At 36.9% G+C, this 16775-nt stretch overlaps 1 long non-coding RNA gene across 1 annotated transcript; it reads left to right on the forward strand.

Annotated features, from left to right (window-relative positions):
* The first annotated feature begins 1 nt into the window (after nucleotide 1).
* LOC105373864 (uncharacterized) lies at nucleotides 2–6485 on the forward strand. Its single transcript, XR_923851.3, has 3 exons — nucleotides 2–78; nucleotides 932–1094; nucleotides 6281–6485. It is a non-coding gene; the product is annotated as an uncharacterized LOC105373864 (long non-coding RNA).
* Nucleotides 6486–16775: the final 10290 nt, after the last annotated feature.

A 16775-nucleotide genomic window follows, 5' to 3' on the forward strand; every position in this document is an offset into this window, starting at 1 on the left:
AGTTAGAGAACATTAGCAGCAGCAAAGTGGTTATCTCAAAACAGATACATAATAACTTCTTAGTGATCTGCACCCACTGTGTGTGGCCCATTCATTACAAGGCACCAAAGCTTTAGCCTATTGTGTTTAATTCCCTTAAAGTTCATGTGACTGTCAATTCCTGTTATCCACAATTTAGAGAAAAATTAGAATGCTTGAGGAAACAAATTTTGAAGTGACCAATTTTATTGTACCTTAATGCCCTGTCACATGGCTTTGCTTAGTTCACTAAGGGAAAAAAAATGTGTGAGACCTTGGTGTTTTATGTCCTACTGTAAATAATTATATCGATTTGAATAACATCTGGAAAAATCTTGAAGCCCTTTACTTGAAATGATTTTATGAACAGGCACTACATTCACTCAACCACTTTAGTAGTGTCACTAGTGTGATGAAATGTGGCTGTGAAAGACCTGAGAACATAATCATTTGGATAGCCAGACAGCCAAGGCTGGTAAAAAGCACCGGAACTAGGAATAGACTTTGTAGCATGTTCTACTACATCAGTATTTGTTAAAATTATGAATTTTTAGATACAATAGTCAAGCAATCCATAAAGAAGTATTTATTGAGTACTTGTATTGGGGGTCATGTGTGAAATAACAGTAGTATAGACACAATATCTGACCTCCTAAGCCTTTCTTTGAGATTAATGTCTAATTATTCCTGTCACTATTTTTTTTCCAGCACTACCAAAATATTTTTAATTAAATCCTTATTCCTTTAAATTGTTTCATTTTATTTTTAAAAGTGTACATGTTTGATATGAACCACAATTAGTTCAGGAGAGTTGGTTAGCTGGGCCTAAGTAAGCTCTTTTGTGTTGAATACTAAGAACAACTGGAGATACAGAACTCAGAGGCAGATGTTGACTGGGTTTACTTGCATTCAGAATGGCAGCAATTGGATATGTGATCTTGGACCTGAGTATGAAGCCAATATCGGTGATAGAGGTAACAAACACACGGAATTGTGAGTCTCAAGAAAGGTCAGAAATGAGAGGATCAGCATGAGGAACAAGGACAAACCATCCAAATCAAGGGAAGAAAGCCCAGGTGATCTATCTAAGGAGAGGTGGGGCAGGTGTTGTGCAATGGTCAAAATGGCAGGCAAATGAAAGAGATCTAAGCAGTGGGGTGTTCAGTGTTGGAAAGTCCAGTTGCAGGAATCAGGGCCCCAGTCAAGGAAAATTGAGCTCAGAAGTAGAGTATCCATTCACCGTGGTAGCAAGGGACAAGACAGGAATCAATTGACAACAGTCTAAATTAGTAAACGTCCCAATGGGTGAGCGTAGTATGTGCATATATTCATATACAGGTGTCCCTCAGTATCCTGGTATTCTAGGACCTCCCCAGGAATACCAAAATTCATCGATGGTCAAGTCCCTGATATAGAATGTTGTAGTAGTTGAATGTAACTTGTGCATATCATCCCAGATACATTAAATTATCTCTACATTACTAAAAAAAATCTAATACAATGTAAATTCTATGTAAATAATTGTTTAAGGAATAATGACAACAACAAAAGTGTCTGTACATGTTCATTATAGACACAAACATTCTATTTTTTTTGAATATTTTCAATCCATGTTTGGTTGAACGCACAGATGCAGAACCCACAGATATGGAACCCATAAATACGGAGGGCCAGTTTTTTTTTTTAATTTATTTGGTCATTCAGTGATAAACACTCTATTAGACACAGGGATTGAATAAAACTGACGAAGTTAACCTTATGAAACACATTAAACTGGGTTAAACAGAAAATGAATAATTAATTCAACAAATGCATGTACAATCACAATGTGTATTATGTGTCATGGATCAAATATGACATGAAAAGGAATAAAGCAATGGGGTGGAGGATGCTATGGAGGATGCTAAGGCCACTTGGAGAATATAACATTGGTTAAAAAATATTCTTTACCTCACCCTCCACCCACAGCTCTGTGGCCCACCAAATTTAAAACTACAGCTACTTAACACATATATCCAGGGTTAGCCCCATTCCCAGGTTTTGTTATCAACCAGTGACACCCCCTGCACCAAGTGATTCTCACCACCAAAATCTCCTTTACACTCCTGAATTACCTCATATGTCTGTCCAGTTTCCAAGGTTAGCTGACATCCTTAATCTGATTTGCCTTGTTGCCAGTTAAGCCCTCAGTGATAAGTTCCTGAGTTGCAAATCACATATTAGGAGGGTGGGGGTTTCTTCTAGTAAGGAGAGAACTAGTATTTGTTACAAATAAGCCCCTAAATCTCTTAATATAGTGCCCAAAGCTTTTAGAGAGATTCAGGACCTTTCTGAACTGTTGATCAATCGTCTCTTCGGAAGATTTGAATCCTCCCCTGGCCCCTCTGCATAAACTTGTCAGACAAAGGAGGGAAGGGAGCAGAGAATCATAGGGGGAGTTTCTAGGGGTCCAGCACGGAACTGCCGTGCATCAGTCACATGGCATACCTAACAGTAAGAGAAGGGTCAGGGGGACTGGCAAATAGGTGTGTGTGCTCTGAAGGAAAAAAAGAAATAGGTTTTGGTGAGTCAAAAGTCTTAATCTTTTTATTCACCTAAAACATCCGTTTTACTCTTTTGTCCACACAAAGAATTTACTTATCCTCAACCCAAGTGAAATCATCAGGTGGGCCTACTTAGGTGGGTCCTTGGAATTGGTTTAATGCTCTGTTATCAATGTCTTGAAATTACTAATAATTTTATCTTTTTTTTTTTTTTGAGATGGAGTCTCGTTCTGTCACCCAGGATGGAGTGCAGTGGCACGGATCTCAGCTCACTGCAACCTCCACCTCCCAGGTTCCAAATTTCTCCTGCCTGTGCTTCTGAATAGCTGGGACTACAGGCGCTTGCCACCATGCCTGGCTAATTTTTGTAATTTTAGTAGAGACGGGGTTTCACCATATTGGTCAGGCTGGTCACGAACTCCTGACCTCAGGTGATCCACCTGTCTTGGCCTCCCAAAGTGCCAGGATTACAGGTGTGAGCCACCGTGCCTGGCCAATAATTTTATCTTTAAGCTTGTGGGGTTTTTTGTTTGTTTTTTGTTTTTCATTTTTTTTTTAATCAAATCTGATGGGATAACGGAGTATGCATGTGAGAAAAGATATCTGCAATAAGTATGTCCGCTGTTCCTTGCTGTCCCATTCATATATTAGCATTTTTAATGTCCCATGAGCACAGAATTCCAGTAGACCTATGATGCTAGGGAGTTTAGCAAATGAAAACCACGGTCACTCATGCCTGTCATCCCAGCACTTTGGGAGGTGGAGATAGGAGGATCATTTGAGCTCAGGAGTTTGAGACCAGTTTGGGTAACATGGTGAAACCCCATCTCTACAAAAAAAAAATTCAAAAATTAGCCAGGGGTGGTGGTGTGCGCCTGTAGTCCCAGCTACTTGGGAGGCTGAGGTGGGAGGATTGCTTGAACCAGGAAGGTGGCAGTTGCAGTGAGCTGTGATCATGCCACTGCCCTGTCTCAAAAAAAAAAAAAGGAGTACAAGGTAGCCATGTGACTTCTACGACTGAGTGAGCAGGACACTGACAGCTTCGAGAAACCACATTTTTCCATTGGGACGAAAACATGCTTCAGACACAAAAAGAAGGCAGTAGCATTCTAAGAAGCACAAAAGTCCAAATAATCTTTTGCTATATTTCCCTGTATTTGCCAACCATTTACACTAAAATGATGTCATGGAAAGAAAGGGAATGATAGAGCAATCATAGTTCCTTCTCCTTTTATTCCTGCCTTAGGAAGGAATAACGTAAGCCAAAGGTAGAGAGCATTGCTAGACTATGCACACATTGTGAAGCAAAATGAAAATAGCCAAATTAGTTGTGTGCAGCATCTCCACTGTTCCGGGAAAAACAAAATGTGTAGGCATGTATAAGCTCAAGAAATACAAATTGTATAAGTTCAGTAATTCTACATGCAAGTTAGTGCTATTGTGTTTGTATTTAAAACTGGCATTGCACAAGATAAAGATGAACATTAAAATCAGATTTTCCCTGATTTAGAATGGCAATAAGTAACAAATATAAAACACCATTACCACTCAAAACATACAACAGAAGATAAGAGAAAGTTTTATATTTTAGTACTTTTAATGGCACATTTTCTTTGCTTCTTTGAACTAGAGTTCTTACATTTTCAATTTGAACTGCAAATTATTTAGCCAGACCTCGATTGGGTGATCTATGTTGTCTCCCTGGCATAACTGTAATAAAAGCTTCCATTCAGAAAAAGGAAGAATAGGATACACAGAGCAGTCAATGACCCATAGAAATTATTAAATCCTTCTGTGTAGGCACTGCAACTACCCAAAATGTGAGGTAGTTTCTTGTCTGTTCATGATTCTTCTTCCCATGGCTCTTGGCTACTGTCTCTCAGTTTCTTTCTTAACCATTACTGCCCTCCATGGCAATATCTGAAATAATTGTTGGGGAATATTATCTTCTTGGGGCTTGCACAGCTTTCATATCTCTCTTCCTTCCCATGGGTTATTTTTAAGGCCTTTTTAGCCTAACACATGATTTCTTTGGCACTACAATTTCTTCAAAAATTTCTTAGTAAGCTTCTGATCTATTTGCTTCCAGTTAATTCCATGTGCCAAGGTTTTTATTAGATGTAGTTATTCAACTCTCCTTACTCTTTGTTTCCTAGTCCTGTTTCTTCTTCAGCTTGATGGCAGGTACCTTGAGGCTATCTGAAACAATATGCTACAGTGGAAAAGTATCTCTCTTAATCTGATGTTTACTGAAGGGCTGAGTTGTTTGAGAAATCTCACCGGCTCTTTGTCACTCAGGACCATTTTTTATTTGGGGTCCAAAAGCTATCAACTTTTCAACCATGTAAGGCCCTTGATCTCTGAACTTTCTTCTGTCCATTCTCTGCTTGGAAATCAGCTCGAGCTCACCTGAGTGCATATCTTTCTTGCTTAAGTTCTGGCCAACTCACTAACCCTCTGACAGTTCCAACTACTTGCCCTAGAGCCACAGATTCAGTAGATGTGTGGTCTGCTTTCCAAGCTCTCCCATGACAGCTTTACTGAAAACCTGCTGAGACACAGCAGAACTCTCCAAACAGCCAGGCTGCTCTATCATAGCCTCACTTTCTGTTGGCCAGCCACTAAATTAATGCCACTTATTTTTGGATATTGTGATTATAGTAGCACATGTCAAAGTACCAATTTCTGTACTTAGCAAGGTGGAATAGCTACTGTAACCAAACACCAAAATCTCAATGCCTTAATATACTAATAGTTAATTTCTATTGACATAACATATTACTGTGAGTTTATAATACCAGGCTCCTTCCATCTTTATTTTATTTTGAATGACCAAAACTTATATTTTTGAAAATCTTGGTTTAAAACTTTTAGTTGCAGCAATTAAAAGACCTGTTTAGAAGTTTGGTTTGGCTGGGTATGGTGGCTCAATCCTGAAATCCCAGCACTTTGGGAGACTGAGGTGGATGGATCACTTGAGCTCAGGAGTTCAAGACCAGCCTGGGCAACATGGCAAAACCTGGTCTCTACAAAGAATACAAAAATTAGCCAGGTGTGGTGATGTGCGTCTGTGGTCCCAGCTATAGGGAGGCTGAGGTAGGAGGATCGCTTGAGTCCAGAAGGTGGAGGTTGCAGTGAGCCAGGATCACGCCACTGTACTCCAGTCTGGGTGACAGAGCTAGACCTTGTCTCAAAACAAATAAACAAGTAATTTGGTTTATTGTAATGCTTAGATTTAGTGCTTGTCATAGTTAAAGACTCCTTACAATCAGAGGCAGAACTAAATGGAAGAAATATATATTTGTCTGCACTGAAAACATCATAATACTCTGTTTTCAGTCCTACTCACCAATTTATACAAAGATGATTTTGAAATTTTACTTATAAATTTCAATTTCCATCTTAATGTTAGTAGTTCTTACAAAGTAATCAAAGGATTGGCTAGTTTGTTTTTGACAAATGTACTTCAAACATACTGTAATATTTTTGGCATGTCAGAAAATTTTGTATTTAAATTTTTTAGCTATCAGAATATGAAAAGTGTTTTTAAAGATGGCAGATTTACTTACATTGCTTCAGCTGTAAAAGAATGTTCTAGTAGACACCATCCCCAAAATCCCTTTTCAAAATGTATATTCTTTTTGAAAGTAATTACTGTTTCACTTATTGTTAAAATATTACCTCTACCATTAAGGAATTGCTTATTTATATTTTTGCAGGTATCTATTAGGCAGTATAGCCACTGGCTATGACAGAAAATGTCACCAACCAGAAGCTGACAATCAAGAGAGCCCTTTCTCAGGGCTAAGAAGAAGGAGTGAAAAATAAATCTAGAGGGGCCAATGAAAGATATCTGACACACATAAAATCAGTCACACATGGGTGAACTGTAAGAGACTGAAAGTAAATAAATGAATGAAGTTACCCTTGTCAAGCCCTCCAGTTATGGAACTCCTCCATTTCCCTCAAAAAACCTCATATAATCACATGTGAGAAAAGACTGTTAGGGTCTCTAATGGGGCCTCTTTTCTAAACAAACTGAGAAATGAAGCAACATGTAACATATGAAGGCAAATTCTCATGTTTAGTATTATGAAATCTAGATTAAAGAATGTAGCTTAATATAAGTACCAGATGGGCCTGCTACAAAGACCCCAGATATAGCAAATTTACCCAATCCATTTAGGTGTTGCTATAGAGAGGCAGGTGTCCCCCAGGGAGAGGACAGAATTCCAGTAGTCCAAGGAGAGGACTGACAGTATCGGGTTGGAGGGGTAGAAAGACCAAGACTTTGCCTAGTAAAGTCCCTTCTAATAGAAACAAGGCTTGTGAAAACCATGTTCCCTTCTACTGAAGATTGGCTAACGAGCAGATCTAGTGAGGATACCAGGGTCAACTCATATAGTAAATATCAATAAAGTGTAATGTATTTCTTTTTAGATAAAAATAAATAGAAGTACAAGTTCTAATGTTTTCTTTCTTTAACCTGAGGGATTTTTCTGCAGACCTCTTAGGGTATACCACTTTTGAGGCTGTTGGGCTGAAATGTGCACTATTGGACCACTATTGGCAAGTTTTGTTCTAGCCCAGTTCCTGGTAATAATCCTGGCCAAAGGTGGGAAGAATTTCATGCTGTGGGCAAAATTTGCCTCAGGCACTATTTTGACTTTCATCCAGGTGTCCTGGAATCTGACTTAGTCCCAGTACCACTTCCAACCAAGCTCCAGGCCCATCTTCCACTGAATATGTCCTCTAGCTCTTTGTGAATAGCTCAGCAGCAACATGTCATCACTGCTTAATTCGAAACTGACTGCTATTGACAGTGTGTCAGCCTTATGATTATATATGAAGGACAATATATTATGTCAATTCACTTAAGTCTTTATCTCTCATGAAGGTTGGAATGGCTTTTATTTTTTATCTGATTGACTCTCAGCAAATCAAGCAAGAGGTCTTAAAAAGAAAAAGTAGAAATATCTTACAATTCAATTGATACAATGGATAGAATTTTCTGTTCCTACTCCAATGTCGTCATAGTAAGAAAAGAATTTGAAACTTGAATTTGAAATTTGAAACTTGAAAGACTAAAATGGGAGACTAATGACATTTACGCTGTCTTCTATCCTTTTTTTGTTGTTAGAATCTATTTTTTTAAATAAACTTTTACTTTTAGATTAGTTTTAGATTTACAGGAAAAAAGTTGCAAAAACTGTACAACTGAACTCTACAATTCACTCTCAGTTCCAAAACCACCTTCAAAGTTTTTTTTTTTTTTTACTTGTTTGGTTGTTGGGATTGGTTTGCTTTTCATTTTTTGAAACCACATGCATTTAATGTTACTTCAGGGCAATAATCCCAAGATTTGTGTAGGGAGATAACACTGCCATATTCCAGGGATTTAGGGTAATAAAAACACCCTGCTTAGTTAGAATAAGAATTCAGAGCCATGACCTCCGGTCTTCTTAAGTAAATACAGGAGAATTTAAAGCTGCCCTCTGGGCAAATATTTTAGGGGCTGATGAGCATTTACCTTCACTTAAGATATAGCTTGTCATCAATATACCCAAGTGACTGACAATTTCTATTTACTGTTTAATAAAAATGAACCCAGAATCCACTGAAGTTCCTTGTCAACTCCAGGACAAAAAAGGAGGTACATCTTGATGAGCAAGTAGAACAACATTTTAAAGTCTAAGAAGGTCACCAGTCTTTGGATGAGTCTATAGTAACTTAGAAGCTTGTTGCCCAATAACCCAAAGAGGAGAATGAACAAACTCAAAATGAGGGAGTGTGACTGCCCCTTTAACACTTAAACTCCATGCCCTTGGAAGCAGAAGTCCTAAAACTCCACAAAGAAACTACATTGGTGCTCAACAAATATTTGTTAACTAATTGACTCTGAAGAAATTTGGTAATTTTTACTCTGCATAAAGAGTGAGAAGTGGCCACTGAGTTGCCAAGAAAACAGAGAAGGCTTAGGAAGAAGAAATTTATGCTCTAGCACTGAATTTACTAGTCAGGGTTCTCCAGAGAAACAGAATCAATAGGACATCGATATATTGATTTATTATGGGAATTGGCTCACTTGATTATGGAGGCCAAGAAGTCCCTCCATCTACTGTTTGCAAGCTGGAGAACCAGGAAAGCTGGTGGTGTAGTCAGCCCACTGTATCTGTGGGTTCCATGGATGCAATCCACCATGGATAGAAAATATTCAGAAAAGAAAAGTATTTTAAAAAATACAAATTTAAAAAATACAGTATAGCAACTATTTACATAACATTTACATTTTATTAGGTATTATAAGTAATCTATAAGTGATTTAAAATATTCAAAAGGATGTGCACAGGTTATATGCAAATACTACTCCATTTTATGTAAGAGACTTGAGCATCTGTGGATTTTGGTACTTTCTATGAGTCCTGGAACCAATCCTCTGCAGATACCAAGGGATGACTATAATTTAGTCTGAGTCTGAAGGACTGAGAACTGGGGATAGGAGGAAAGGCTGGTGTAAGTCCTAGAGTCCAAAGGCCTAGGGACCAGAAGTTCCAATATCCCAGGGCAGAAGAAGATGGATGTCCCAGCTCAAAAAGAGAGAGAGAGAATTTACCCTTCCTCTGCCTTATTGTTCTATTTAGGCCCTCAACAGGCTGGTGAGGGTGGTCTTCTTTACTTGGTCTACTTACAAAAATGCTAATCTCTTCTGGAAATACCCTCACAGACACACACAAAAATAAAGTTTTACCAGCTATCTGGGCATCCTTTAGCCCAGTCAAGTTAACCCATAAAATTAATCATCACAAGCACCCTATTTTTAAACTTGTGTTTCTGCAGGGAAAATACATACACAGGCCAAGAAGCAAAACACCTTAGACCCAAGTTTGTTTTTTTTTTAAGTTTACTTTATTCAACATTCTGTGCTATGACCTTCTCATATACTTAGCACTGTATGGAAGACACAAAGACATAAGACACAGACTCTGTTCTCAGGGATCATATATTCTTAACAATAAGAGCCCATATATGCATATGACAACTTGAATATAAAACCTACATGATAAAGTTCCAAGTGAGTTATACAGACAAGTGCTGTGAGAATTCAGAAGAGAGAGGAACCACTGTGTGCAGAAAGTCTTCTGGAGGTGAAAGCTGAGTGAATCCTTAGAAATTCAGAAGGATTTGAGTAAATACAGAAGTAAGAGTAAACTGTTTCTACACCTACTTTTTCTATCGGAAAGAGGGTGAACAAAGAATACAAGGTGAAAATAATCACTGATTTGTCCATGGGGTTGCAAGTAAACCAGTTTAACTTGAATGTATAATTCATACTGAGGAGTAATGAGGGAGAAATTAAAAATTCAAAACAGATTACAGAAAGCCTGGAAGGGTCAGCCAAAGCTTTCCCTCTGTGGAACAAAGGACAGGACCTGGGGCTGATTTTCAGCAGCCGCATTCACTAGATATGGAACACTAGGCAAACTTTTAAACCTCTCCCAAAGCTGTGGTTTCCTCATACTTGTGTGTCAGACTTGTGCATTATCAATAATATGCATAGTGTGGCACTCACTGAGTGATTGCTCAACAAACCTAGTATCATTTTAGGTAATGGAAAATCACTGTAGACTTTGGATGAGCAAAGCCTTAAATTAAGCAGTACTCCCCATGAAACAGGTTTTGTATATAAGATGGGGTCAAGAAATTGAGATGGGAAAAAGAAAAACAGAAGGGATTTTAAGGTAGGGGGCTGCACTGTGGAAACCTAGTTTCTTTGAGATTGAAGCATTGAGGAGTAGTTTCCAGACTTAGGAAGTTGTAGCAAGAAGTGTCAACTGAATATTTAAGTTTTATGTGGAAAGGATGAAATGATGGAAGCTCTGTATGGAGAGGGAGAACAGTACAGTGGAAGAGAGACAGGCAGTAGGCAAGTTTATGGTCAAAGAGGAAAGAGATTAAGGCTTAAATCTTAGTGAATCTGAACCTTGTGAGGATACCATTTGCAAGGAGTTGGTCAGATTGCTGGAGAGACGTTATGGAGAAGACACATAGCCTGGTGGATTTAAGGAAAGCCAAGAATTTTAAATTATTTATATCATGTGAAGATTCAACCAATGATTTGACATTGTTGAGGATAGCAACCAAATTTTAAATAACAGGAGAAAAACATGAGGCAGATTATGAAATTCTGAAAATAACGAGGAAGAGCCAATCTTTCCCGGGGGGTGGAGACAGAGAGAAAAGTAGAAATGCAAAAGGGCTAAAAAGTGGTATATTGTGATATCTAAACATCAAAGGAAAAAAATGGAATAGTAAGTGTGAGTGAAAAATCTGGAGATCCAAGAATCAGTTATTTTCTCTTTTCCCCATCAAGTAGGCATGAGAAAGGCAAGCAAAGGTATAGTTTCTATCAGACTAGATATGTACTGTGGTATTTTCTGAGGAAATCCAGTCTCATTTAAGGAGAGTGAGTAATGAAATAAGATCAGAAAATGATGACTCCAATCTACTTAACATTTATTTTGTGACAATTATAAATAAGGAACTATGCTGGGAGTTTAAGTAAGTGAAATAAAAGTTTTACAAGACATACTAGAAAAACTGGACTCACTGTGGGAAACAGAAACATAGAAGGGTAAACTCAAACTTAGGAGTTGGGAAGCAGTAGCAGGGGAACTTCAGACCTCAGCTAGAAAGAATGAATAACAGGAATTTAGGAGAAGCTGGTTGAGAGGCCTCTGCAGAACATCAAAGACATTTCCAGGCAAGGGATATCAAGCCTCTCCACAAACATGAACATATAAATCCATTTCAATATTTGGAATAGACTGTCTCCCCATGAATTAAGCACCCACCTTCATCCATGAAACTGATCATGTTTCAGTTTTGAAAACTTGACTTTCAGATGTTAGTTGGGGAAAGGGCAAGAGGAAGGGGAGATTCTTCATAGAATGTAGGAGCCAAAACAACTTTGCCTCTAGAAACAGCTTTCTCTATTTGAAACAGGATACTCATCTGGGAGATTTGAATAACCAACATTTCATTGTTTCTTCACTTCAATAAATTTAATATAATTATGTCCTTAATTTACTAAAAGATCTTGAAATGCTTCTTGAAATCACCGAGAAAAGTGTGAATTGTATATTTATTTCCTGTTCAACAGTCACCTCAAATGCCACCTCTTCCAAGAAGGCCTTCATATGGGAAGGAGGGTATGTATGGATGCATGGAGAGAGCTGCAGCGGACATAGTTGGTTGCCCACTAGTATCCCTTCTACACCACCCTCACTGTCAAACAGCCGCATATTTTGGGTGGAATTAAGCCATCCAGTTACCCTAAGATGAATCCTGATTAGCTGATGCCAATCTGACTGACACAGTCACAGGCCCCCTTACAGTAGAGATACGTTCATAGACAGGACATGTGAATCAGGGTGTAAGCCAACTTAATACACAGAATTCTCCTGGTTAAAGAGATTAGTCAAGGGTCAGCACAGGGCTTATGTGGTCAAGTTAGAAGGAAGCCCAAGACTTTAGTTGATGCTTTGGGTAAGAAATTTAATCTATCAACCATTTTCTCATTCTCTCATGCCCACCTACCCTCTTATCATGGTTGTCATTCCAATATGTCATTGCAAAATTGCGTATTCCAAAATGCTAGTCATTCTACAACGACAAGGTTAACCAGCCTTGGAATAAACTTGCCACAATAGAAAGAAACTTAGAGAAACAAAACTGCTCCTTGGTGAATATCATAGAGCTGCTGGATCAAGCCTTGCCTGCAGCTTCCACCACTAGTGACCTTTTAAGTTTATAAGTTCATAAATTACCTTTTATTGACTTGAAACCAGTTAAATATCATAACTGAGACACCTTTCTGAATTACCTTTGTACTCATATTTTATTTTATTTTTCTAAATATTTTATTTTTCCCATTTATTTCAATCTTACCACATGTTGTCTTGCATTAAATCTATTTACTTATATTTCTTATCTTTTCTCACACACTTTGAGCTCCTTGAGGGCAAGGACTGTAGTTTACATATTTTCATATTTCTCCTAGCTTTCGTGATGTTGCTTTGTGTATAGCCATGCTTAATGAACATTTGTAGAATGAGTAAATCAAACTTGTGAACTTGTGCATTTGATCTCACTACCACCATGTTGTAGTTAACACATATTAATAATTTAAAACTGTTGAATAAACTGAATATAAAAACATTATTGTTTTATTGTTTAATTTTGTTATCTTGAGTAAGGGGGGATTTGCATTAAGATTTGGGTACATTGAAGATAGTCAAAGGCCAAAAGAAATTTGCCGGCCGGACGCAGTGGCTCACACCTGTAATCCCAGTAGTTTGGGAGGCCGAGGTGGGCGGATAACAAGGTCAGGAGTTCAAGACCAGCCTGGCCAATATGGTGAAATCCCATCACTACTAAAAATACAAAAATTAGCCAGGTGTGGTGACAGGCGCCTGTAGTCTCAGCAACTGGGGAGGCTGAGGCAGAAGGATCACTTGAACTCAGGAGGCGGAGGTTGCAGTGAGCCGAGATCACGCCACTGCACTCCTGCCTAGGCGACAGAGCAAGACTCAGTCTCAAAAAAAAAAAATAAAAATAAAGAAAGAAATTTGTCTTGCTTTTAATTCAAGTCTTGACACTTATATTTGATCTTGATATACTATATCTTACCATATTTACCTTATATATCATATATATGCATCTTAGTATATTTGATCTGGGTAGAATTATTCATTTCTCTTGTTCTCAGTTTTCTTATCTATAAAATGGTGATAAAAATAATATCAATCTTATAAGATTGTTATAAGGTTTAAATGAGTTAATAAAACCAAAACACTTACATCAATGTCAGATATACTAAATACTTAACAAGAGCTGGCAATTTTTCTTGTTCTTCTATGATATTGTTGTGATATTATTATTATTATCATCCAAGTTGAGAAATACTTGTAGTGTTTTTCATGTTAAAAAAGTAGTTTTTTAAAAAATTAATTTGATTTTCATTTTAACTCACTGTTTAATAAAGTTAATTTAGAATTATATAATTACTTTTTATTGAAATTTTCATTGAGATAATTGTACATGTACTCACATGACACTGTGAGAAATAATACATAAATATTCCTTGTATACTTTGTTTGGTTTCTTCCAATGTTAACATTTTGTAAAACCGTAATATAATATTACAACCATATTGATGCAATCCAGCAATCTTATTCAGACTTCCCATTTTTATTTGTACTCATTTGTGAGTTCATGCGTATGCATGAGTGTATTGTGTACATACGTGTGTGAAGTTCTTTACAATTTCGTTTCCTGCGTTTATGCCTGTATCTGCCAGTCAAGATACTGAACAGTTCCAACACAACACCCACCTCTCATCCTTTCTGTACTTACTTTTTGAACTAAAAATTAGTTGTGTTTTTTAAAAAAATAAAAAACAAACCAAAAAAATCCTTATGAATCAAGCACTCTTGTTGCTTGCTATTTCCACTGCTAGCTTACAAAGGTCCAGGTTCATTTGCTAATGGTCATACACTTCTGATGTAAATTTCCCTGAGCAACACTCATTAACATGCCCTACTGACTGTGTATCTTTGTGCCTGTATATATATTACTGTAGCATCTGTATACTTATTTATCTTTCTGTCTAGAATGCAATTGAGAATACAAAGTCTCATTAATTTACTTACTCCATGCTCCATTGTCATTTATTTGAATTATAAGAATCTATTCATTATTATTAAATCAAACTCGTGACTTTGCTGTCTGGTTCGGTCACTCCAAGATTTAATTTCACCATTTATATATAGCATTTTACCTATGTTCATCAGATGTATATGACATTAAAGTCCATTTATGGAAAATATTAGAATATAAACACGTGGTGTTTATTTGTATTTTAAATATAAAATGCTAAAATAAATATAAGTATTAAAAATAAAATTATTTCTAGATTGTTAATGTCTTCTAAGAGTAAAATTAGTCAGAAATGCCTATCAGTCAACAAGTATATTGATGAAGGTATAAGAAATTACAGAAAACTGGAAATTTATGATAACAAAGGGTAAATGTGGCAAGATGAACTCAGAAGGTGTGCTGTGCGTGCTTTAAATAATCTCAGTGCAAAGGGACTAGGTATTCAGGAACTACTTTGAAGATACTTGACCTAGCTGTGTTCCCTTCCCAGTCATCTGCTCTGTCAGCTGATCAGATCTCTTGAGGTTTTCTCACCAGGAAATGGAAATAAGCCCATTATTTGCAAGAGATTAAATATTGATCAGAATTTTATATTTATTTCATATCAAAATCTATATGTAAGTGCTTCATTATTGAGTTCAATTTCTGTATGATTGTTCAGTTCAAATAGCAACACAATAGAATTTGCTTCTATTGTAAATTGTGAAAAATTAGTACTACATCATATAAAATGACAGAGATGAGTCTTTGTATGAGATTTAGCTCTAACCACAAAATAAATGTTAAGTGAATGGCCAACATGATAAAATATTGGAAGCAAAATAACTGAAAAGAAAACAATCTTAGGTGTTGGAGTCAGAAGGCAAGAGCTCCTGGCTCTGATGAGCAAAACATTCAAACTCTCTGGGCGTTGGCTTCCACATGTGCAAAATGACAATAATAATAGAATCTACTTTCTAGTTGTTGTGTGGGTTAAATTATCTGATATGCATAATTCACTTAAAAGGTTCCCAAGTATATAATAATTATTTCAATAAATGTCAGCTATTACTAAATAAGACATATTTTCAGTCGCAATCTCAACTTTTATTCTGAGTACCCACCCTGATATATAAAATTATATTGAAAAAAATCTTTCATAATTGTTAAAACAGCAATATAAGAGATCTTGCTATAATACTCAGAGATAACCATGGACAATTAGCTGGTTTTGTCATTAGAATTACTTCTTTATCATGAGAATTAACAGTGATTAACATGGCTGGCTATGTACAATAGAATGAAACTCATAAAAGTTTGCTAACTAAAGTGAGTTTTTAAAATATATGCTGAGAAGGGCAATCTACAGAGATTTCAGAGTTTTGCTAAATTTTACAAGTAAATGTTGAGTATAGAGGGAAAATTGAGGTAGAATGGGTATATAAGCTGTTAGCTTTGTATGGTATTTCATTTCTCTTTTATCTCCTCTGTCAACATTCCTCTACTAGACATTTCCCAGCACCTCGCTATCTGTTATTGTTATTGCTTATTTATCATATACCATATTTAATACCAAGCATGACATTGTATTGATCAACCCATTATGTCTTTCCAGCTTGTCCATCTACTCGATTCTGATGGCTTTACACATTAGCTCTTTTGAATGATATTGTAATTGGATTCAGAGTCTCCTGGTGCATACTACTTCTTGAGAATATGTTAGGCACTTCAGTAAGCTGCTTTAGTTTTTTCTGGGCAGACAACAGTAGATTTTGCTTTTATGCACTAATTACTCCTTCTTACTGCCTTTTGCAAGATTTTCTTCCTCTGCCTATCTCTTACTTGTTTTCTTTATGATTCTATCTTACGTTCTTTTCAATTCCTAATCTTCATGGTCTGCTTAGATGAACTCTTCTTCAATATCTCCAACTATAAGTTATCTACTGAATAAAAAACATAAGGCACAAGACTTTAGATCTCTATATTGAGTGTATCCAGCTGGCCTTAGGATACTTCCAAGTGGATGTCTTACTAACATCCAAACTCAACCTGTCTACACTGAACTAATCATCTCTCCAAACCTGCTAGTACTTAGAGCAGAGAATGGCACCTGTGAATTACCATTAACTCCAGTCTGCTTGTTCCCCACAGTTAGTCAGTCACCAGTCCTTGATGAATCTATTTTATAAATAACTTTTTAGTGGTCCGTCTTTCTAATCTCTACTGCCACAATCCAATTCCAGTCCCCAGCATCTCTTTCTTAGGCTATTGCAAATCTGAATTATTGGTTTTCCTTCATCCAAAATATTCTCCTGGATGCTGTCAAAGCAATCTTTCCTAAGTGTGAATATAATTGCACCATTATTTCATTTGAAACCCTTCAATAACTGCTTGCTCTGAGAATAGAATTGAAACTCTTTGTTGTGACTCCTACTGCCTTTCTTGACCTAGCACCATCCTAGGAGTCAACTTATTTACTGGCAAAAGCATAAGTTTTGAGATTATATGCCTGCATTT

The sequence above is a fragment of the Homo sapiens genome, chromosome 2 (genome assembly GCF_000001405.40).
Source record: "Homo sapiens chromosome 2, GRCh38.p14 Primary Assembly".
Taxonomy (NCBI): Eukaryota; Metazoa; Chordata; class Mammalia; order Primates; family Hominidae; genus Homo; species Homo sapiens.